The sequence below is a fragment of the Homo sapiens genome, chromosome 7 (assembly GCF_000001405.40).
Source record: "Homo sapiens chromosome 7, GRCh38.p14 Primary Assembly".
Lineage (NCBI taxonomy): Eukaryota > Metazoa > Chordata > Mammalia > Primates > Hominidae > Homo > Homo sapiens.
In genome coordinates this window covers 27,214,961-27,239,965 of record NC_000007.14, presented here as the reverse complement: position 1 = coordinate 27,239,965, position 25,005 = coordinate 27,214,961, and the positions used below count along the sequence as shown (strand labels likewise).

At 47.8% G+C, this 25,005-nt stretch overlaps 2 annotated features.

The window, feature by feature from the left end:
* Positions 14,405–15,088: an enhancer, noted in NCBI's record as "H3K4me1 hESC enhancer chr7:27264497-27265180 (GRCh37/hg19 assembly coordinates)". NCBI's record gives its function as "activates a minimal SCP1, AML or CMV promoter by ChIP-STARR-seq in naive and primed H9 embryonic stem cells {active_cell/tissue: H9 hESC(naive and primed)}" and the evidence as "EXISTENCE:reporter gene assay evidence [ECO:0000049][PMID:30033119]".
* Positions 19,295–19,856: an enhancer, noted in NCBI's record as "H3K27ac-H3K4me1 hESC enhancer chr7:27259729-27260290 (GRCh37/hg19 assembly coordinates)". NCBI's record gives its function as "activates a minimal SCP1, AML or CMV promoter by ChIP-STARR-seq in naive H9 embryonic stem cells {active_cell/tissue: H9 hESC(naive)}" and the evidence as "EXISTENCE:reporter gene assay evidence [ECO:0000049][PMID:30033119]".

Here is a 25,005-nt window from a genome sequence, read left to right as displayed (position 1 = left end):
GCACGGCTCGAGAAGGAAGGTAAATTCCGAGAGCAAGTGAAGCCCTGCACAACCCCATTAAGCCTGGGCAATCCCATGACAGCGGAGAGGGGGTGATAGCAGCTGAGGTGGAGGCCGCTCCAGGCCCGGCGGCTTCTCATTTCTCGCGGCGGGGGACACCCATCCCCCACCTGCCACACGGCAGGCCCCCCGTCCCTTCCCCCGCTGGGGCGACGGGCTCCGGTCCAGCCGGCTCCTCTCGGATTGAAATTCTCCGGACTTCAAAAGCTCCCAGCTTGGCTTCCGCCGGGGCTGGGCTGGCCTGGCCCGGGCCGGAGGGGGGTGGGTGGGAACCCCGGGGAGGCGACGGAGATAAGATGCGCGGGTCGTTTTAAATGGAATCGGAAGCCGGGCATAGGCCCCCAGACGCGCGGGTCAGCTGGAACAGCTTCGCTCCTGAAGAAAACCGGGCTCGGAAAAGCGGCGCGTGTGGGGCCTGCCTCCGCAGTCTGCCCGCCCGGCTCGGGGGAGATGGCCCGCGGCCCCGATCACCCTCCCCAGCCTGCAGCGGGCCTTTCAACGGCGACAGGGCCCCGAGAAGGGAGAGAGCGAGGAGTCCTGAGCCGGGGGCCAGGAGCTGGCTTGTCGGCTCAGGTGTCGGTGAAAATGTGATCAGGAAAAAAATGTTTTCGCTTCTCTTTGGTTAAAAAGTAAGAACAAAGGGAGCTTCCTTCTAAACAATAAGCGTGGTCTGGCTGTCGTGAATATTAGTCTTGGGCCCTCCGTCATCTTCCAGGCCGTGGTGGGGGCGCCAGACTGCTGGGTCCTCGCGGTGGGGACAGCCGGAGGTGGGTGGTTCTGGGACCCGCTTCCCCCTTCTGCCTTGGCAGCTGCTGATGCCCTTTTGGGAACCTAGTGCCACTGCTGGGTGCACCCCTGGGGAATAAGGTCGAGTGGATCTCACACTTGCAGGTAGATGAGGGTTGACCACTCCTGTCACCTCCTTGCACTGCAGTGGAATCTGCTGAGAAAGTCGGTGGCAGCTGTGTAACTGTGGCAGGCACCGTGGAACACTTTCTCCTTCAGACAGGGGGAAACTGCGGCTTCTGGAACTCTGATTTTGAAGAGTGCCCCCTCCTCTCCACCCTCCTGGAATGGAGGGCCAGGTCCTGGGAGGCAGCTGACCCTGCTGCACTCCTGCCTGTACACCTGTCTGCCTGGGCTCCTTAAGGCCAGCCTGGTAGCTTCCTGGCCCTGTGCTAAGGATGTCTGGTCCACATCCCCATTCCCACCACTGGCCCATCCTAGGGCTGGAGGACCCAGGGTGAGACTGGCAGCTGAAGACCTCCCCAAGCTCAAGGTTTGCTGCCACCTCAGCCACTGACTGGAAGGGCCCAGTGCAGTTTGTGTCCAAGAGCAATTCTCCAACACCCAAGCACCCAAAGGCTCAGACATCTCCCTCCTCAACCCTAGCAGAGATGCTATGGATTCTTCTTCTTCATTATTGTCCTGAAGTTTGCTTTTATTACAAAGAACATCAACACCCATTTCTCATTTAATCTAACAATCTCATTTAATTTAACAGTCCTTTAAAAGGCCTCAAGAGTCCACAGTGCATTTTTTCCTACAGTTGTAGAATGACTAGTGGTCTTGACTCAGATAGCTAGGTCAGGGCTGAGTGTCAAACCAAGCTCAGTCTCCCTTCCAAGGCCATGTCCCTCCCTGGCCTTCAGGGATGCCTCAACCCCCAGCAATGCTTTAACTCTCCATAAGGCAACCCTCCACAAAGCCTCAGCCTTTACTGGGGTTTAGGCAGGTCTGTGGGCCTCTCAGAGAGTGTCCCTCCTGCCCTTAGAAGCACCTGCATGGCTGGAAGGCTCAGGGCCCACACAGCTGGATGGACTAGTCCTCACCCTGCCACCCCCATCCCTCACCCACACCACACATACTTTTCCAGGAGGGCAAAGAGAAATCCCTCTTAGAAGTCTGGAGTTCCCACATGATAAGAGCAGTCACTGCTCTAAGCGTTTCACATGTATTAGCTCTCCAGCCTCACAACAGGCTCTGAGGAAGACAGCATGAATCATCTCTATTTTGTGGCTGAGAAACCCAAAGCACAGACAGAAAGCTGATGTGTAAATGAGCATCAGGATTCAACCCCTCCCTCCAGCTCAAAGGCCACTTTCACAATTTGAGAATTAGGAAGGTGCTAAGCATTGCCTTCTGAGACTTCTCTTCCAAAAATTTATCTTGTGATTTTTTGTGACCAAGGCCTCTTCTCTACCTCATTTCTAGATTAACTCATGGAGGGGGTTGGGAGAGCCACCCTCAGGAATGTAGGGTAGGAGAACTGCTCTGCCGAAGCATGTGGGAAGGGTCTCAGGGCCTGAGGCCAGAATGTCAGAAATATCAGTGCAGCTGCTGATCCTGGAGACCCTAAGAGACAAAGCCCAGTCCCTCTCTGACCATTGCAATCCACTGAGGCCCTGAGAACATTTCTGGAAAGGAGCAGGACTCACCAAGGTCACCCAGGCAGTTTTAACCTCTTAGGTATGGCCCCTTCACATAGCCATCAGCCCTCTTCCCACGAAAATGCAGAGGCAGAGAAGTTGGCCTTCAGTTCCCAGATCCCCCACACCCTTGGAGCCACCATACTCCAGGCACAATTCCCTGAGCCATTTCATAGAGTACCCTTTACCAGGGTATTTTCCCTTACATGGCTGCTACCCCCTTCAAATTGACCTCCAGGATTGATTGGTCCAAGGGGCAAAACCCAAGAGTCTGGCCAGGCCTGGTCACACCTGCAACCTGGCTGGGGACATCCTTTATGTTCTGCATGTGCCTCCATCCAAACCTCTAGGCTCTGGACCTGCATCAGGGAGAGAATCACCCCGCTGGGGTTTCTCCTGTAAAAGACAGGACTCGGCTTGGGCTGACCTTCCTTTGGGATAAAGGAAACCCAGAGTCCAGGGAACTGTCCTGTTATTATCACTGTATTACAACATTGCTTCATTTACATTATTGAGAAGAGATTGGAGTGGGGTCAGGGGAGGATATGTTTTCAGGATCTTTTGTTTGTTTTTAATAGATTTTGTCCAGGCACAAATCCTTTCCAAGCACTGGGCTATCCAAGGGCCAGACAAACCTGACCACCTTGCTCCCCCTACTCCCAGTCCCCTGCCATGGGGCACCATCTCCACCCTCTTCCACCCCTGCACTGTAAGAGGGAACCTGCCCACTGCAGCGCCTGTCAGGGCCACCCAACAAGGGCAATGCAGGACCACAAATCTGGGTGGAGGCATCATTTCGGGCTGTGGAGTAGTAGAGGACAACTCGATGGTCCCAAAATTCTTCCTCCAGGGTGCGGGTGTCTCTCTGTCTCTGTGTGCTCTCTGACCCTGTGTCTCTCTCAGTTCCCAAGCTGAGGAGGCCAAAGCCCCTTCCCCTCTCCTGGGCCCGGAAGACGGAAGACTCGGTGGCGCCTAATAAGGAGTAGAGGAGTCGGTTTACCAGGTGTGGGATGAGAGAACTGCCCCGACGCCCCCTTTCCCCACCCCAGGCAAGGAAGTCCAGCTGGTTGGGCTGGCTTAGCCTCTCCCTCCCGTGAAATGGAAAACTCTCTCTATGCGGAGTTCTGGGGACTGACTTGCCTAGAGACCCCTCCTGGCCCAGACTAGTCCCCACTCCCCTCCTACTGAGCTTCTGAGCGTCCGACGAGGCACAGTCCCTCCCGTCGTGCAGCGGGAAAACGGACTCCCCGAGAGGTTGAGGAATTTGCTCAGAGTTACACAGTGGGGAAGAGGCCAAGCCAGGATTTTAACGCAAGTTGTCCAGACTCCAAGGGCCAGATTCTCCTCTGACATTAACGCCGTGCCCCAGGACCATGGACTGCTTTCCCTAACACCCAGACAGAAAACTGCGATGCCTTGGGTATGATTGAAAGACCCAGATAGGGATCCCCCTTCCCAAGTGGGTTGGGCGGATGCGGCCGCTGTCCCCGCGGGCGGTGAGCGACGCGCGGGAGCCAGGTGAGGTTGGTATCCGGGGAGCAAGGCACGAAGGCCGGGTGGCTCACCGGGAGGGGCCTCAGGGCGCCGCGACGTGGAGGGACTGCGCGATCCCAGCCCAGAAGCCTGGCGGTGAGTCTGTGCGGGTGAGTTTCAGAGGGTGGGGGAGCGGCTATCAGGGGCGTGTTGCAGCGGGAGGAGGGTAGGACGGATGCCAGCCCAGAAGCCAGGGAGCCGCTGGCTCAGGACTGAAGCACGCGCCACAGGTTGGGCTCCGGCCGGGAGTATCAGTCCCTCCCCTTGCCCCAGGTGCTGCCTGGAGCCCCTTGAGGGTCCCTTTCCATCCTGGGAGCTGGTCGGCCGCCTTGTCCTTTCTCCGCGGCCCCTTTCTGCGCCCTCCGCCCCTCGCCGCCTCGGTGACAAAGCGCAGCTCCCGAACTGCTGTCTTGGTGCGCCCCCCACTGCCGATCGCCAGAGGCGGAAGTCGCGGCGAGTCCCAGCATCCTTGCTGGCTCGGATCCCGCGGCTCTGCCCGGAGCAGCGGCCCCAATCCCCCATCCCCAGAGGGCAGCCTGTTCCACCAGGCCCTATGCGCCCGCTCTCTGAGCTGGACCCTAAGCGGGATGGGTGATAGGTCAGAGCCACTTAACCTCGGCTTCTCTAGACAGTGATTAACCGCGGTGGGGCGGGAAGTATCAAGCAGTTCTCCTGCGAGCTCCTTCCTCCCAACCCCACCCCACCCCGCCCTGTCGTTTGAGAGGAAACGCTGAACACTTTCCCCCAAACTCCCCCCGCCACCACATATCAGCCAAGGTCTGGATAAGGAGAGTCTCATGGGTGAGAGTGCCTGGTCAGCCTATATGTTCAATCATGCCACCAACACACTAGTAGGCCCCATTTGTTGTGGCTCAGGAAGTCCAGGCTGTGGGAAGCCCCTGGACTCTCCTATCTCTGTAGCTCCTTGGACTCTTTCTTGGGCCTCACTTACGTCTGAGGACCATTTCTAATAAGACAGCCTTACAGCAACTCTTCTCAGATTCCCTATGACAGTGATTGTGGTCCCCACGTCACCTGGGAACTAACTAGAAATGCAATTCCTGAGGCCCCACTCTGGACCTATTGAATCAGAAATTTTGGGGGTGGGCCCAGCAATGTTTTAACAAGCCCTTCAAGTGATTCTAATGCACACTCAAGTTTAAGAACTGCAGCCCTACGAATTTCATTATTCGACTTGATAAGTTTCTGTGATTCTCCATTCTGCCTGGAATGGCTTTATTTTTTTTTTTATGTTATTTGTTTGAGATGGGGGTCTCACTGTATTGTCCAGGCTGGTCTCGAACTCCTGGGCTCAAGCATTCCTCCCACCTTGGCCTCCCAAGTGCTGTGATTACAGGCATGAGCCCCTGCACCCAGCCTGGAATGGCTTTTTGAAAGTGTATCTTTAAAAAAAAAAAAAATCCCTAGTACAGATTTATGCATCTGTTACCCCCTGCTCCTTCCACCTTATCACCTCCATGTAGATCTTTGTGCACTAACTTATTACCTAATGATGCCATTATCTAACTTAGCTTCTCACTCACCCTCTCATTCATCCACTGCCTAAGGACATGGAAATCCTCACTCTGTGACAGCAGGTTAGAAACTGCTCTGGAACTGCAGGAGCTGGAGGAGGGTGGAAAACTTGCCCTACCTAGAGATTTCTTTCACAAAAGGGGACCAGAGGCCTTGAAATATGATTGGCTTGCTGGCTCTAAAATGGAGAAGGCCAGGCATGGTGGCTCACGGCGGTAATCCCAGCACTTTGGGAGGCCGAGGCGGGCAGATCACCTGAGCTCAGGCATTCAAGACCAGCCTGGCCAACATGGTGAAACCCTGTCTCTATTAAAAATGCAAAAATTAGGCAGGCATGGTAGTGGGCACCTGTAATCCCAGCTACTCGGGAGGCTGAGGCGGGGAGAATTGCTTCAATCAGGGAGGTGGAGGTTGCAGCCAAGATCATGCCACTGCACTCCAGCCTGGGTGACAGAGCTAGAGTCTGTCTCAAAAAGAAAGCAAATGGTTTTAGTAGGAGCCAAAAGGGCCTCAGCCATGTAGCTGTAGATATAGATGCTTTTTCATTCAGTCATATTTTTCTAGTATCAGGCTTACTCTGGGATGCTATTTGATAAGTTAAAGTTACAGCAAATGTTGTAAATTAGGCAGTATGGGGCCAAGGTGCCACCAAGAATACCCGAGAGTAATACCCTATATCCAAGAATAAAGATACCTACAAATATCTTCTGTGTACTGGATAGCACACATGTATTATGGCACTTAATTCTTACAACTCCAGCAGGTAAGAGACTACATAATTATCATCCCCATTCTATGGATGGAGAAGCTAAGTCAAAGAAGGGTTAAATGCTTGCTCAGGATCACATAGCCTATTAGTGGCAGAGATGAAATTTGAATCCTAGCAGTGTCATGCCAGGAGCCAGGCTCCTACTCATTAGGCTCAGTCCCTGCCTGTGACTACCGTGTGATCTCAAAAGATAGATTTCATTTCCAAAGGTGACCAAACTAGTTGAAGCCCTGGAAGAACACTGGAACTTCTTCTAGGAGAACTACTATCAGTATTAATAATAATTAACAGTTAGATGGTCTCTTCCAAGTAACATTTTCACACTCACTGACCCATTTGATACAATAGTCTTATCAAATGGAAAGAGCAGCTATTATTATAATCCCCACTTTACAGATGAGGAAGCTGAGACCCAGAGAGATTAGGATCACTCAGCTAATACATGGCAAATCAGGGAACACCGTTACTCCTTTTGACTACGTTGTCTCTGTTTCTTATTTTTCTTTCATTTCCACTTCAGACACATATTCACAGATCATCATATTAATCCTTAACTTCCATCTATTACTTTAGGCTGCTCAGGTGGACTTCTGTGTCCAGCAGTTTTCTTGTTTGTTTGTTTTGTTTTGTTTTGTTTGAGACAGAGTCTCGCTCTGTCACCAGGCTGGAGTGCAATGGCATGATTTTGGCTCACTGCAACCTCCACCTCCCATCTTTAAGCAATTCTCCTGCCTCAGCCTCCCAAGTAGCTGGGACTACAGGTGTGCACCACCACCCCTGGCTAATTTTTGTATTTTTATTTTTTATTATTTATTTATTTATTTTTTGAGACAGAGTTTTGTTCTTGTTGCCCAGGCTGGAGTGCAATGGCACGATCTCAGCTCATTGCAACCTCCGCCTCCCGGCTTCAAGAGATTCTCCTGCCTCAGCCTCCCAAGTAGCTAGGATTACAGGCATGCGCCACTACACCCGGCTAATTTTTTGTATTTTTTTTAGTAGACACGGGGTTTCTCCATGTTGGTCAGGCTGGTCTTGAACTCCTGACCTCAGGTGATCCACGTGCCTCGGCCTCCCAAAGTGCTGGGATTACAAGCGTGAGCCACCGCACCTGGCCTATTAATTTGTGTATTTTAGTAGAGATGGGGTTTCACCATGTTGGCCAGGCTGGTCTTGAACTCCTGACCTTGTGATCTGCCTGCCTCATCCTACCCAAGTGCTGGGATTACAGGCGTGAGTCACCATGCCCGGCCATGTCCAGCATTTTATTAGCTCCTCTCCAGGTTCCTAATAAAGTTGGAGGGGCCAGAATTGTTCTTTTCAGTTTCCAGTTGAGGAAGCCAAGATTCAGAGAGTTCAGAGGACTTGGCCAAGTTCACAGAGCCATGACAAGAATCAGTCTCAGACTCTTCATGGAGCAAGAGTATGAATTTTGTAAAGAATTCTACAGAATGAATAAATTATTCTTAGTCCCTGCCTCATCCTTGAGGCCTGGAAATACTGATAGATGCACAAACAAAAGGCAGATGGTTGTGAAATGCTACCAACACTTTTAATTACACATGGCGTAACGTTTTTGTTTTTGTTTTTGTTTTGAGATGGTGTCTTGCTCTGTCACCCAGGCTGGAGTGCAATGGCATAATCTTGGCTCACTGCAATCTCCGCCTCCTGGGTTCAAGTGATTCTCCTGCCTCAGCCTCCCGAGTAGCTGGGACTACAGGCACGCACCACCGCACCTGGCTAATTTTTTTTTTTTTTTGAGACAGAGTCTTGCTCTGTCACCCAGGCTGGAGTGCAGTGGCACAATCTCGGCTCACTGCAAACTCCGCCTCCCGGGTTCAAGCAATTCCCTGCCTCAGCCTCCCCAGTAGCTGGGATTACAGGCGCCTGCCACCATGCCTGGCTAATTTTTGTATTTATTTTATTTTTTTTTTTAGAGACAGAGTTTCACTCTTATTGCCCAGGCTGGAGTGCAATGGTGCAATCTCAGCTCACCGCAACCTCCGCCTCCCAGGTTCAAGTGATTTTCCTGCCTCAGCCTCCCAAGTAGCTGGGATTACAGGGATGCACCACCATGACCAGCTAATTTTTTTTTTTTTTGTATTTTTAGTAGAGATGGGGTTTCTCCATGTTGATCAGGCTGGTCTCGAACTCCTGACCTCAGGTGATCCACCTGCCTTGGTCTCCCAAAGTGCTGGGATTACAGGTGTGAGCCATTGTGCCCAGCACTAATTTTTGTATTTTTAGTAGAGATGGGGTTTCACCATCTTGGCCAGGCTGGTCTTGAACTCCTGACCTCGTGATCCACCCCCCTCGGCCTCCCAAATTGCTGGGATTACAGGCGTGAGCCACCGCGCCTGGCCTAAATTTTTGTATTTTTGGTAGAGACAGGGTTTCACCATGTTGACCAGGCTGGTCTTGAACTCCTGACCTCAGGTGATCCACCCGCCTCAGCCTTTCAAAGTGCTAGGACTACAGGTGTGAGCCACCATGCCTGACCAATGTATTGTTAATGTATATTTTTATTATAATGGACTTAAAGTTGTTTCATAACTTCCATTATTGGCAATATAGTAACTTCGTTTTCCTAATTATTCTGGAGTTTACCTTACTATTCTTAGAAATAATTCAGGCCGGGTGCAGTGGCTCACGCCTGTAATGCCAGCACTTTGGGAAGCCAAGGCAGGTGGATCACCTGAGGTCAGGGGTTCGAGACCAGACTGGCCAACATGGTGAAACCTCATCTCTACCACAAATACAAAAAATTAGCGAGGTGTGGTGGTTGGTGCCTGTAATCCCAGCTACTCGGGAGGCTGAGGCAGGAGAATTGTTTGAATCCAGGAGGCGGAAGTTATAGTGAGCCGAGATTGTGCCACTGCACTCTAGCCTGGGCAACAAGAGCAAAACTTGAAAGAAAAGAAAGGAAGGAAGAAAGGGAGGGAGGGAGGGAGGAAGGAAGGAAGGAAGGAAGGAAGGAAGGAAGGAAGGAAGGAAGGAAGGAAGGAAGGAATCAAAGATGAAAGATAGGTCCTTGTTTCAAAAATAGGCATGAGGCTGGACACAGTGACTCACGCCTATAATCCCGGCATTTTTGGAAGACCAAAGCAGGAGGATTGCTTGAGGACAGGAGTTCAAAACCAGCATGGACAAAATAGCAAGATCCTGTTTCTACAAAACATTAAAAACAATTAGCCAGGCATGGTGGTGCACACCTATAGTCCTAGCTACTCAAGAGGTTGAGGTGGGAAGATCTCTTGAACCCAGATCCAGGATTTAACTCTGTCCTGGTCTTGAGCCCTGAGGAAAGGGTGGTATCACTTTTACAAGTGGCAACAGTCAGGTGATGATTTTCTCTTAGATATGGACCTTTAACAACTGAAAAGCCAGATTCACTCCAAAAATTGGCCAATTTTCCTTTTATTAGAACTGTCCTTCCCTCATAACCCTCACCTTTTCCCAGTACAGGCAATGGAAAAAGAAAAATCCCATGTGCTCTGGCTCTAAGTCTTATAACAACCCTCAGAGGGAGGTATGGGTCTCCCCACTTTACAAATGAGGAAACTGAAGCCTAAAGAACTTAAACAACTTGCCTGAGCTCACACAGATAGTAAGTGGGAGAGTCAAGGAAAAACCCATGCTTGTAAACACCAAATCTTACTTCCAATAGCCATGAATCCACTTTCTCTATGAATATATATTGTGAGATCTTCTGACCCAGCAGGAGAGGAGCAGCAAAAAGCTGGTGTGTGGTGGAATGAGGCCTGGATTTTGAGTCCAGCAGGAAGACAGACAGATCCCAGGGAAATTTGGGAAGATGGAAACTGGTCTGTAACAGCTAGGAGAACAGAATCAACGGTGGAGCAGTGCTCTCAAACTTGCCCAGCCAAGATTTCTGGTACTTCAGAGGTAGTTGATGACATGTCAAGAACCTGGACTTGGAAGCCAGACAGTCCTGAGCTTGAACCTCAGCTCTGGAGCTTACTCACCAGTGACCTTGGGCAGACCAAAGCTGCAGGATGTCAGATCTAAAATAATACAAGGCCTACCTTTCAGAGCCGTTCTAATGGAAAGGGCCTTGCACAGTGTCTGGCCTACAATGGGTACTCCGCAAATGCAAGTTACTGCTTCTCTCTCACCTTGACGGTCCCCCTACTTCACTCTCTACTATGTCTGTGATTCTTTTTCTCAACATTCCACTCTTCTGAGTGAAAAGCAGCTGTGGATGAGAAGTGAGGGTGAATGGTGCTCAGGGAATCACATCACATGTTTGCCCCCCTCTCCCTATGTGGTGGTTAACATATGCCCAGAAATAAATAACTACAGAGCAAAACTAGGGTGCATTAATGCATTTGTTGGAAAGCAGCAGATGTGGAGATGGTAAATGTGAAATTGAAATAAAGAATTATCTGGCTGCTATCTTTGCAGTGCTATAGTAAATGGCATCCAGGATTTTGTGTCCTTTTTGCAAAAGACATTCACTGGGATTTGGAATAGTGAGAAGAAAATCAAGGCATGCCCGGTGTGATAAGGGAATGTTCCTTTTGTAGTAAAGGCGTAAGATGATCCATAAATAATAACAGGGTACAATTGTTGCCGTCTTAATTATAGTGGCAATTTAGAATAATGGTTAAGTGCCCATACTTAAATTAGACTGCTTGGGTTCTAATTTGGCCCCATCTGTAAAACGGGGACATATGAGGGTAAAATGAGTTAGTACACACAGAGCACTTCCAAGAATATCTAGCACTCACTAATCCTCAATAAATGTTAGCTATTACTATTGTCGCATGTTACTTCCCTAAATGTGAGCCTAAGGAATTTCAGTAAGTTTATATACTGAAAGGAAGAGGAATGAAGCAACAACTCCATACCTGGAACAAATATACTAGTGGGTGGCCACTTATATTTAGAGCCAAATAAATTCTGGCCCATTGGAATGTCAGCAGAAATGTCCTGTAGCAAAATCCAGGCACACTCCTTAAAAGACAGAGATGTACAAGCTCTTTGCATGGTTTTTTTTCTTTCTTTTCTTTTTCTTTTTTTTTGAGACAAAGTCTCACTCTGTCACCCAGGCTGGAGTGCAGTGGCGCAATCTTGGCCCACTGCAACATCCACCTCCCCAGTTCAAGTGATTCTCCTGCCTTAGCCTCCTGAGTAGCTGTGACTATAGGTGCATGTCACATCCAGCTAATTTTTGTAGTTTTAGTACAGATGGGGTTTCGCCATGTTGGCCAGACTGGTCTCGAACTCCTGACCTCAGGTAATCCACCCACCTCAGCCTCCCAAAGTGCTGGGATTATAGGCCTGAGCTACCGCATCCGGCCAGTGGTTTTCTTTATCCCTCCATTCTGCCGCCTGGAGCTTGTCTACTGACATCCTGGGCCTGGATAAGGTAGAGCAACAAGATAGTAGCAGCTCAGATCTCTGACATCATGAAGCATCACACCAGCCCTGGAGCCCCTATCCAGGCTTTTAGGTGGAAAACTGTAAACTTTTATCCTGTTTAAGCCCTGGTTATTTTAAGTTTTCTAAGACTGGAAGCCAGAGCTATTCCTTACTAGCACTATTATCTGAGACCAAGTTCTTGGCCTATAGGTGATGAGAATATGGTATGCCTGTGCCGTACTCTGCCTTGCAAACATAAAGGTAAAGAGAACAGGGTCACAAGGACCGAAGGTCTACAAGAGAATGGGAAATGAAGGAGCCATGTTTTCCAAATGAGAGAGAGAGAAGAAGAAAATGTAAGTTTCCCAAGTCTTTCTGAGTGGTAATAAAGGGGTATGCATGTGTGTTCATATATATTTTTCACTGACAAATTATACATCTTCATAGAAATTTAGGCTACAGTAAACCTTTTTCCAGGCAGGCAGCTGAACCTTTTTCCAGGCCGGCAGACTCAATTATTTTTATGTGTACAACATGCCACTTTAAAAATAAATTATTTTACCTGCACAGTGATAACACCTAAGTGAGATATTAAGGAGGGATTGTGAAGAGGACAAATAAAACGTTTTTCTGGAGATAGAATTAAAATGAACAAGCCTTTCTCAGGAGACCAAATGAGAAAAACAGTTAACTCTTCTATTTCTGCTCCCAATGTGCTGTAAGACCTTAAGTGAGCTATTAAACATCTTGGACTTTATTAAAATGGGGTGGTAATTTCATACAGAGTGGGTGTTGTTAAGCCTTCTTGATTTCAGATCCAAATTGAGTTTCTCCCACAGAAACTGCAGCTTTTGTAAGCTGTTCACTTACTCCTAGGGAGGTAAGAAGATACGTCTGAAGAGCTAATGCAGTCACAGATAGATATTCCATATGTTAACATAAATGCCTCAAACTTTCATTTCCTTAAGGAGAAACATCAAAGTCTCTGGCCTGCTTTGCATGCTTTAGTCTTGGGTAGGGAATGCTCCCAAGTAAAATAAGAAGCCATTTCAGACGTACTTCTTTTCCCCACACTGGCTGTTATCTCCAGCCATTCATTTTCCCTTCACTGTGTTTCCCTGTACTGGTTTTAAGATAGGGAGTTTCCACCCCTATGGGCCTTCTGATAGTCTAGCCACTTCTTTCTGGCTCCCAAATGAAAAATGTAGGACAGAACTCAGAACTGTGACAAGGCTGGCAAGTGACATGGCTGTTTCTTTTCCAGTCTCCCTTTACCCTGGAGGTGGCAAGTATGAAGGTTTGGGAAACATTCCCCTAATAGCTAGATGCACTGATTTCCAATGGGATTGGATCAGTAAGTTCAAATACAATTGCTATAGTATGGCCAGGTGTATTTTTAGACTATGCAAGAAGATAAGGAATATCTGCCCACAGTTCGATGCAGTTGTTTCTTAGGCAAGAACCCAGAACCTGGAAGCTGACAGCAAGACACAAGCCAGCCCTCATGGACTCCCTCCATTCTATAGCTACAGACAGAGGCAGTGGAAGCTCAGTTGGTCTGACCAATGACTAGGTGTTGGGTCAAAGCCTGAGAGCCCAAGCAAGGGCTCTTTGGTCATAGGCTGTGTTTTACTGGGGCCCCTGTGCGGTCAGGAGAAGGGGCTAATGGTCAGAAACGTGGGCTCTAGGCGTGCCCCTGCCGCTCTCTGGCTGGGTGGTCCTGCAGAAGTCTCTTCCCTCCTCTGGGCTCTCATCAGTGAATAAAGTGCTAATCTCAACTCTGCCACACCCTGGGTAACCTTGACCAATTCACAGCATCAAATATCAGTGGGAGCTAAAGGGTCTATTTTTCTGAAATATATGAAAATATATTCTATTTTCATGCCCCCACCATGGTATTCTATGACTCCAACAGGGGACACACATCAATGCCTACAGGAGTGGGCTGGTAACAGAAATGTAACAGAAATGAGAGAAATGGCCATGGTCACATTTGGGAATTGAGAAGACTGGAGTCACAGAATTCAGCTCCAGCTGATATCATTGTTAGATATTTCATTTTCAAGTGTTTCTACATGTTGGCAACTAATTTGAATTATTATAAAATTCTGTATCAGCCAAAAAATGACTCTAGGACAGAAATGGCCCACTAGGCCAATTGGAGTCATCTGCAGTCCACTGACCCAAGGAAGAGACCAACTAGGTGGGAACCTGGGGGGCAGTGTCCCCCACGTGCAGTGGCCTCAGATACTGGCCAGAGCTGGGGGTCACCCATCTGAGATCCTCAGCCTCACTGCAACCACCCGGGCTTCAGTGTCCCCGGCTTCCTCTGCATTTCTGAGGTGGTGTACCCGGGCCTATTCTCTACACACAAGTAGGGGCCGACAGGCTTGAGCGCCCTCCTGGGGTCCCGACAAACCCGGGAGCAGCGCGAGTCGCCCGCGGACCGGGAAGCCAGGGCAGCGCGAGGGACTCTCCAAGCTGGCGACAGGTTCTGCTGCAGCCTGCGGATTAGCGGCGCTGGCTCAGATCCGAGGAAGTAGAGGCCGACGGGGCGCCAAGGCGCGCACTCTTGGCGGTGGCCTCTGCGGGCTCTGCGGGTTGCAAACTCCTGGGTGCAGGCAAATGCGGGATGACGCGACTTTGGCGGTTCAGGCTGCGCGCACGGCCCGCCAAGAAACCCCAGGGCGCGCGGCTTCCCGGGTTTGCGCGCCACGGAGGGAACTCCCTAAAGAGAATGTTTTGGATTTATGGGGAGGAAATTTGACCCTCTAGGAGCGGTGGTCTGATGTCTCAGCCCATTCCTTCCTGGGGGTTAAAAATGAATTCTCCATCTGCTGAGAAAAGCTCAGGCTTCGGGCGGCGGCCGCCGGCCCCTCTGAGTTACGGGGAGCCCTGCAGACACCCAGCCCCTGGGGATCCTCTCCCCGACCTGCCCTTCCCCTCCGACACTTGCCAGTACTCCCCGGCCTGGTATTCCTTTCGAGACCCCCTCACCTATTCCAGGCTGTCCTCCACTGAGGCGAAGCTCTATGAAGTAGCCCAATTTCAATATAATTCACGTTGTGTAAAAGAACTTTGAAGACGGACTACATCGTGCAAGGACACCGTCACCCGAAAACCATTGGTGGAACGTTAAAACAAACAAAAAACAAAACGGCAAAACCTTTTTGAAGGCAATTTTGACATTTATGAATTTACAGTTATTATTCGGTTTGTCCCTGAAATGTCACTTCTGAAAATTTGCATAGTTTTCATTATCACTAAAATAATCTAGTAAATATTCCCGAATGAATGCATTCAAGAATATTCACTAAATTATTTTAGTGATAAGGAAAAAGTGGAAATAGCTGACAGTCATCAATTTATAAATAAAATGATGGTTAAATAAAATGATGAACATTCATATAAAGGAATACTCTATATTCAGACGAGATCTGTGTGCTCACAGGCAAACAGGTCTAAGCTTACTTTAAATGAAAAAGGATAAATTGCAAAAAGAATAGTTTGTGTAATATGATTCCACATTTGTAAAAATGGAGAAAGAAATTGTAAGCAAATGTCTGCAAGCAATCAGATATGATTAGTGACTTAATTTCATGGATAGTTATATAGGAAATATATGTATATTTTATATGCACATAGATATGGAGGAATATACATTCAACTGTTACTTTGGGATTATGGGGGCATATGGGGCATTAACTTGCCACACTATTTCTTCAAAAACTGATTATCTTTTTAAATGAACATGCATTAGTTGTGTATTTCCTCCCACACAAAACAATAAAGGTTTTTAAAAATTATACCTCTTCCCCATCCCAAGGCCACCAGATTGTGATCACTTGACCACTTTTCTCTAATCTTTTCATTACTATGTTAATTTTCTTTTCAACCTCTCCCTCCCTGTACAGCATCCAAGAAATCTGCATTCCTTTCACTTAAATTTACAAGTTGCCTGTTTTATACATGCAAATAGTTTTAAATCACTTAAACCAAAAGAATGAAAGAAATGGGAATATTATTTTCACTTAATCTATACATATAATTTAAATGAAAAAATAGTGCAATATTTTTTGGGCCTTGGAAGCATTGAAATTTTTAATCCTTACTTTTCAAGTTCTGTATAGATATGACCTGTTTTTTCTTCTAGCTGCACACATATTCTTCCTCAATGCAGCAAACCAAAAGAATGGATCTTTAAGGCATAATTTTTCTATTCAATCCAGAAAGACTCCCTATTTCATGGAGAAAAGAGCATTGGAAGGGTAAAGAGGGACAGGAATGAGGCAAAGGGCACAGGGATGAAGGAGGCACCCGGAATGAGACTGGGGGAGGGGAAATGGAGCTTGGCAACATGGTCCAAGTAATTCTGAGATTGTTTACATCAGTCTGAATGTTGTTCCCAAAACGTGAGCTCAGTTCATACTCTGGGAAATGAGCATAGCCACACTTCAAACACAGAAGTGAAGGGATTGTCTGGCATTTTAAGATATTCATATACAAAAATGATATCCATGCTGCATATTATCCATGCAATAGATGGTGGAGCAAATCCACCCCCCCAGCAAGATATCTGGTGTGGTTCATATTTATATATAAAACAACATCACATTTTTAAAGCAAAGTCTCAGAATGTTCCAGGCTCACGCATCCACACAATGTAACTCCAGATTTTTGCCCAGAAACCTGACATTTCTCTCCTTCTTTTTATATGTATTAATAGCATCAGGGTAAAATGCAGGTGCTTTGGAACAAGCTACTTGGGTTCAAATCCTGACCCTGCCATATATTAGCTTATGACTGTGGTCAAGGTATTTACATTCTCTATGCTTCAAGTTCATCATCTCAAAAATGAAGATAATGACACTACTCATTTTATATTTTATGCAGAAAGCTTTTAGAACAGTGCCTGGGCACACACTGAGAGTTTAACAAAAGTTAGCCACAATTATTATTCACTCTTTTACACTCCCCCAAAAGCTTATTTCTCTCCATTCTTCCCTCTTTAAGAAACTACCACCTCCACATTCTCAGAATTGTCTTAGTTCCATTCTCTTATTTAACGGAGATTCTAACCATAGCTCCTCCCCTGCTGTTTGCCTTCTCTCTCCTACCCAATGGGAGGTAGCAGAGTCTAAAGAACACCTAATAGGAAACCTAGATTCTATTCCCCCTCTTCTCCTGTGATATTTTGGGTTTTTAAAACAACTTTATTGATGTATATGTTATGCATCATAACATTTACCCACTTCAGGTGTACAAAACAATGATTTTTAGTAGTAGCTTTACCAAGTGGTACAACCATCACGATAAATCCATTTCAGAACATTTTCATCTTCTCAACCCATGAGATCCCTCGTTTTTTTTTTAAGTTAATTCCCCTTTCCACGTCCAGCTTGAGGCAACCGCTAATGTTCTATCTTAATAAGTTTACCTTTTCTGGGCATTTTAGACAGACATAATCACACAACAGGTAGTCTGTTGGGTCTGGCTTCTTTCACTTAGCACAATTTTTGAGGTTCATCCATGCTATAGTAAATATCAGTAGTTCCATACGGTTTTATCACCTATAAAATCAGAATGAATTTTTTCTGCCATGTCTAAGAGAATCATATAAGAATATTGATAATATATATTGAAAGCTAACTAGTATTGCATCTACATTACTTTAGGCACTGAGCTAAGTGCTTTATTTGCATCATAGAAATTAAACTGCACAACAGCCTTATGGGCTAACTAGGTGATATTGTTACATCCATTTTCGAGTTGAGGAAGCTAAAGTTAAGAAAAATATAAACAGACTTGCCGAAGGTCACAAAGCAAATAGATGGCAGAGTGGTGGCTCAAATCTAGGTGTCTGTAACTCCAGAGCCAAAGACAGAGTCACCTTGCATTCAAAACACCAAAGGCTCTTTGCACTCAGTACCCTTCCATCATCACGAAAACAAACACACAAAACCCAGGGAAGTCTTCCTATCAACCCCACTAAACATGGAGAAATGGCCAGTGCTTTGTCAACTGTAAATCTCCACTCATATGGAAGGAATTCTTACTCCATCATTTTCTCCATACCTGACACTGCCCTTGTTAGAGAACTTTTAACCCCCTTGGGAAGGCACTGGTGGCCTGAAGGACTTAGGTCTGCTGATGAGGATTCTGATTTCTGATGAGGTTGCCTTAGGGAGTGCCCTGGTGCCTCTCCAGGCCAGGGAGCCCAGGAAGGGAGGTTGGACCTTTACCCAATCATCCTGTATTCACAAGGGATGAATGTGTAGGGAGAAAACTACTTAGGGATCTATGCCTCCTACTGTTAATTTTTAGGTTGGGATTCATGGCAGCACCTTATAACAATTAGGCTAGACCTTCCAACCTACTACCTCCTTTCTTAAAGAGGGAAGAATGGAGACAAATAAGCTTTTGGGGGAGTGTCAAAGAGTGAATAATAATTGTGGCTAACTTTTATTAAACTCTCAGTGTGTGCCCAGGCACTGTTCTAAAAGCTTTCTGCATAAAATATAAAATGAGTAGTGTTATTATCTTCATTTTTGAGATGACTGCTTTAGAAGACTGCTCAGTAGAAGGATTCTATTTGCACAAGAAGAAACGCTCTTCTCTAAAGCCACCTATGAGAACTTCTCAGTTGGTAAAGTAGTGAAACCTTCTTGGGATTTCATGATGAGTCACAGGCCTCACATTTCTTCCAGCAGCTCTGCCAAAGACATTCACCTGCAAATGTGTATTATCATGAATGTGTGGATAACATTTGTGTTAGTAATCATAAATACAAGAAGCCACACTCAAATTGTGTCCTATTATTTCTGAAATACACCCAAGCCACCCTCATCAGTCACAGGAAGTAGGGTCCTTAGTGTGAAGGCCAGCCGCCTCATTCCACTGAGGAGTTCCAGAGAGATCACAGGAGGTAGCCAGGGTGTTTAGTGACAGAATGGAGCCGAAAACCCATCTCCAGTCCCAGAAGAAGCAAGTACTCAGGTAAATTCATCCCAGATCAACAGCAGGTAATGTAGAGAAGAGGCCTCTTACTGACAACACTTTATTGCAGTGTGCAATACTCTCACACATTGCCAATAAGTTTTACAGAATCATTTATTTGTTGAATGAAAATAAATATTTGTTGGTGTTAGATGATCTTATGACTTTTGCACTTTTTGTACATAGTATTTCAATAAAGTATACCAAAAGGACACGATGCAAAATTAATATTTTAGAATGAATACAGAAGTGCCTAGCACAGCACCTGTCATATAGTAGGTGGGCATTAAAAGCGTGTTCATGGAATACATGATCTCGTTTGTTCCTGTCCCCTATGGGCAGGCAAGCACGTATGCTCCTGTCAGGGGTGTCATTCTTAAGCTTTCTTCACAGATGAGAAGTTCCCTGACTGCGAGGGTCACGCTGCTGGTTAGGGGCGCAAAGCCCCGGGTTCCTCCCACCGAGCGGAAGAGGGTGGATCACGGTTTGCACTGGGCCGCGGCCGCGCGGGGCGGGTCCACCCACATCCCCGGGCAAGCCGGGCAGGCGGGAGGCTGCTCTGCAAACACGAAGCCCCGAGCGAACTCTGAGGACGCGGCCAGGTCGGGAGGAGGCCTCACCGCACCTCGGCCCGGCCTGCAGGGTCCCCGCCAGCCCCGCGGCCCGGCCTCCTCCGTGGGGCTGTGGTTTCTCGCGGTCGCGGCCTGGCCCGGCCCCGCCCGACCGCCACACCAGGTCAGTCTGGCGGCGGTGTGTCCCTCGGTTCGTGCATCCTGCGCCTGGGGGCCCTTGCCCCAGGGATGGTGCCCTCTCACTCACCCCGGGGAGGAGGGGGGACTTCTCATCACTCGCGGATAACTTATAAGATGGGGCTGGCAGTGGCACGGGGGAAATACAGAAATGTAAGACGCATGCAGCTTTTCCTTATGAGAACCTTCTTAAAGCAAGCAAGGCCTCAATTCAAAATCAAAGCCTCCCAACTAAGTTTCCCCTTTACCAGGGCTTCACTGCAGGTGCTGGGCTTCCTCCTATGGACCGGTTCAGAGCAACTCACAGAGGCTCTCTGCCACCCAGCCACGGGACCTTGCCCAAGTCACTGACCCTCTCTGCCTGTTTCCTCATCTGTAGAATTTGGGTAACACAAGTACCTACCACATGGGGATATTGTGAGGGTTCGATGAGATCATCCCTGCAAAGCACAGCACCTGGTAGGTGCCAGACAATGCCTCCTTTACCCTCCCTTCCCCTCTAGCCCAAGAGCCAGAGTTTGTTCCCAGCATCCTCCTTGCATCTCCACCTGGGACGGCCCCTCTCCACCTGTCCAGGTCATTATCTCAGCCTCCTTGCTGCCCACCCTCAGCCAGACCCTGACACCCCACACCACTTGGCACCCGGTTCATACTGCTCCATCCCTAGGTTCTTATCTCAGCCTTTGGTGCAATCATTTATGTAGCTGTGTCACCCTCCATGTTTCCTTCACACGCAAACCCACGCATGTATGCACATTCTTATAGATGTGAAGGCTGCCTGAGGGTAAGGACCACCATGCTCACCTTAGTGCCAAGTGGGGCCAGGGACCTAGACCGCAGCATCGCACGTTACTAGCCCAGTGTCTGTTCTGAGGAGGCTGTGGGCTGTGGATAGAGAAGGCCAGCTCCACCTCCAGCCTCCCCTCCCCACCCCACCCTCCACAGCCCCTCCCCATCCCTGCAGCTGGTGGTGCTAAAGAGTAAACCTCCCCCCTTCCCCCAACTCAGAGGCCATATTCACCCTAGCCGTGGTGACAGGTTGATGACTCCTATTACAGGCCCCTTTCCTCTTCTGGGGGTTCCTGCCTGTATGGAGCCTGGTGGAGGGGCCACCAGCAGGGCCGGAAACCTGGGGAGAACGTCTCTGGCTGCCACTGATTTCTGTTCCTAGAACTGATGTTTTTCTGCAATTACAAACTTCCCTCCTTCATTATGTCTCCCTTGTTCCCGAGGCAGTAAATACCGGGGATATATATTACATTTCCCATAACTTACTTTCAATTATCAGAAAGGCTTATATTAATAGACACACTGTGGACAAGGAATCCGGCCCCAAAGCTCAGAATGAGGCTTCCAGAGCAGTGGCTACATCCTTAGAGATGCCCACCTCCCCAACAGCTGTCCCCTGGGCCACTGTCCCTACCCAGCATATTAACAATTGGCAGCAGAAATTAGTCATTGAAAATATGGACCCAGCTGGGTGAGGTGGCTCACGCCTGTAATCCCAGCACTTTGGGAGGCCGAGGTGGGCAGATCACCTGAGGTCGGAAGTTCGAGGCCAGCCTGACCAACATGGAGAAACCCTGTCTCTACTAAAAATACAAAAATTAGCCAGGCATGGTGTCGCATGCCTGTAATCCCAGCTACTCGGGAGGCTGAGGCAGGAGAATTGCTTGAATCCGGGAGGCGGAGGTTGCAGTGAGCCAAGATCGCACCATTGCACTCCAGCCTAGGCAACAAGAGTGAAACTCTGTATTGAGAAAGAAAAAAAAAAAAAAGGAAAGAAAGAAAGAAAATAGAAAATATGGACCCTAAATCCAATGCCTCAGTCCAATCCTAGTGTTGTCCCTTAGTAGCTGGATGACCTTGGGCAAGTTACTTAAGCTTTCTAGGCCTCTGTTTCACCATCTGTGAGATGAAGATGATTATAATAGTTCCTAGAGGTGTTCAACAGATTACATGAGTTAATATTTGTAAAGTGATGACCACTCTGTAAGCATTCGACCAGTGATTTTAGTCAAATACCTAAAGCTTAATTCATTTGGCAATGCTGACAGCTAAATATGCCTAGCCCTAAGTGACTATAACCCACTCTAGATGTGAAAAATATATATAGGGGTCACATAACTTAACCCTATTGTTATTGCTATTAATGCAATGCAAACTTGATAGAATTGTCTTTGTCAGTTAATCAGTTTCTCTTAATCTTTACCATCCTTCATTTGTGTTCTATGTGAACACATTCTGGAAAGAAAATGAAAGGAAGAAACAAAGGGAGGATGGGAGGGAGGGAGGGAAGAAGGGAGGTAGGTAAGGAGGGAGGGAGGGAAGGAGGGAAAGAAAGAAAGAAAAAGAGAGAGAAAGAAAGAAAGAAAAAGAGAAAGAGAAAGAGAGAAAGAGAGAAAGAAAGAGAAAAAGAAAGAAGAGAGAAAGAAAGAAGAGAGAAAGAAAAGGGATGGGTGGATCTGGTTGAGATGTCTGGATTGTGATAAAATTCTTTTTTTTTTTTTTTTTTTGAGATGGAGTCTCACTCTGTCCCCCAGGCTGGAGTGCAGTGGTGCAATCTCGGCTCACTGCAACCTCTGCCTCCTGGGTTCAAACAATTCTCCTGCCTCAGCCTCCCGAGTAGCTGGGACTACAGGCACCCGCCACCATGCCCAGCTAATTTTTGTATTTTTAGTAGGGACGGGGTTTCACCATATTGGCCAGGCTGGTCTCAAACTCCTGACATTGAGATCCACCTGCCTCTGCCTCCCAAAGTACTGGGATTGCAGGTGTGAGCCACCGTGCCCAGCCTCCTATTTTTTTAAATATTTTCAATCAGCATTATAATAGTAATACCAAGTGTTCAATAAATTATGTCAAGCTCCTACTTTCTAGGATCTTAACAGTTTCCAGAAAGCCTGTGTGAGAAGAGCTTGCTGAGAGTCAGAGCTAGAGGGAAGAGATGGGTAGGAGCTGTAAGACCACCTACTGCATAAGAATCTGGTAACAGCATCCTAGACACTACCTCTCACCTCAATATGTGTAATAGGCTTTCCATTCCCTGATAACCTCAACAACCATTTTATGAAAACCCAGCTGTTTCCCACTTCAAGGCCAAGTATGCCAAAGAAAGAGCTTTCAAAGCTGCAGGAAAAGGTGAGGCCTGGATCTCTTTTGCCTAGCATTTATCTTATACAGACCCATATATACACCTACCCACCCACCACCTTCCCCACACACACACACACACTTATCCTGGATTCAGTGTGTCTAAAGATTAGGATTATATGCCCTGGCAGCTATGTCCTTGCTCAAAGCCTTAATGAAGGTGTAGCACCTACAGTAAGGAGATCAAGACAGCCCTGGGAAGGAATTCATGATCTGCCCTGCTGGAGAGGTTCAAAGAAGGAGCGGGAGTACCCCGCCCTGCTCCCCTAGCTCTCTGAAACTATACAAAGATCATTTCAAGCAAAGCACTACACTTTTTTCCCAGAAATGCCTGCCTCACAGAGGTCTACACTGGTGGTTCTTAAGTGGGGGCAATTTTTGCCCCCCAGGGGACATTTGGCAGTGTCTGGAGACTTTTCTGGGTGTCACAACTGGGGTAGGCACTACTGACATCTGTAAGTAGAGGCCAAAGATACTGGTAAACATCTTACAACGCACAGGACAGCCTCCACGACAAGGAATTAATCATCCAGCCCAAAGCATCAATATTGTGGAGGTTTGAGAAATCCTAGCCTAGACCAAACCCCTGCTGCCTTGGAGAAAGCATTCCCTCAGAACTCCTCCAGCCACTTAGGCAGGCAGCAGACAGGAGCATCCAGAGGGGAGTCCAAGAGAATCCCTTCTCAGGCCCCAAACTAAGAATGGGGAGGTCTAGCAGACTTCTTCCTCCTTCTGCTTTGCTCCTAGAACACAAAACCCTGGCATCTGAAAAGATTAAATACAATCCATGATTCCCAGCCCGCCAGGCTGCATAACCCTGCCCCTCATATCCTATTTCCCTCCTGCATCCCCTCATTCTTGAAACACAGTTGGAAATTCAAATTGCAATCTTTACTGTCCAGCCCTCAAAGGCTCGGCCTGCTTCCTCTCCCAGGGACAAAGTCTCCTCAACGTCCTGCCTCCCTTTGAGATGAACCCCCAACCTGATTCTTTCACCAACTGTAAGTTTTTCTTCCCCACCTCCCTCTACCCCTCCTTCTCTTTCTAATTAAGCTACATCCAGGGGGCTAGGAGGGAGGGGAAAGGATTCTGAAGACTTCCGTGCTGCAGGTTCTGCGGGCCTACAGCCTCATGTTTTTTGTGAGGTGCCAACCATGCTGTGATCATTAAACCCAACAGTGGTGGTGGGGATTTTCTTGTTACTGTTAACCTGGGAGCCAGCTACATCTTGTTTATCAGACTTGTTTTAATTCAGCTTGGTCAGGTTCCAAGTGTTGAGGTGGAGATTAAAGGCAACTGAAGAATCCAATTAGCTGCCCAGTCTTCTTTAAGCCAAAAACTCAGGTCACAAACTAGATCAAAGTGAAATTATTTCTCGACAGCTCTGTTCATTAAGGGGAGGGTGGGAGCTCACACTGCTAAGCTGGGCTCATTACTGGGACTGGCATTTTAAATACAGTATCTCCCCCAAATTACATGTTTCAGAGGTCGGAGGGAGAAACCCAGATTATCTTACATGAGTCTCTGGCTAATAGAAAACAGAAAGCCAAAGAATGAGCACAAGACTTCTAGGAAAAGATTTAAATGAGGCTCCAATTTTCCTAGGCAGGCAAACCAAATCTGGAAACTGGAATTGGCACTGATCACTCCCAGTAGAGAATCCCTCCTCCAGGAGATGTAGAGTTGAGAAATCTAGGTCTTCGAGGTGGCCCTGCTTACCATCTTCTAGAGTCCTTCAAAAACTCTTTCCACCCCTTTCCCTGGTTGGGTGCAGCTGCAAGGGAGGCCCTCTCGCTGTGCAGGCAATCCCAGCCTCAGGACCCAGCAGCCTTTGAAGAAAAACCACTCACCATTTCTGGTCTCTGGGTCCCAGGCAGAGTCAGTCCCAGTGGCAAGAGACTCCTCATGGGTCTCTCTGTGTTTCTATGGGCTCTTTTGAATGAGCTGCAGAACAGAAGAGAAGGAGGAGGAGAGTGAAGAAGGCCCTGATCAGATTCACTTTCTATAGGGAGAATCAAACACTGGATTGCTGTGAGGGCACGGTTCTATGGGAGCAAGAGAGACAGAGAGAGAGAGACAAAAATTACATTCAAGAGAGCAGTCACAGGACACATGCCCTCTTCAGTGAGCCCTGATTTTGAACTGATCCTGGATATCTACAGAAACAATGGCCTTTTTCCCTGTCCCCTCTTGCTTGGGAAATTCTGCTCAGCCTCTCAGGCAACCAGCAACCTCTGAGTTAAAAGATCGCACATTTTAGGCCTTCAAAACTATAGGCTTGGGGGACGCTCGAATGTGGTTAAAGTTTATTTTTGCAGGCTTTAAGTTATAGCCACCTCTGAGGTGTCTGAAATCTGAACCAAGTGTGAGACCTGTCCTTAAACTTCCCAGTCTCTCT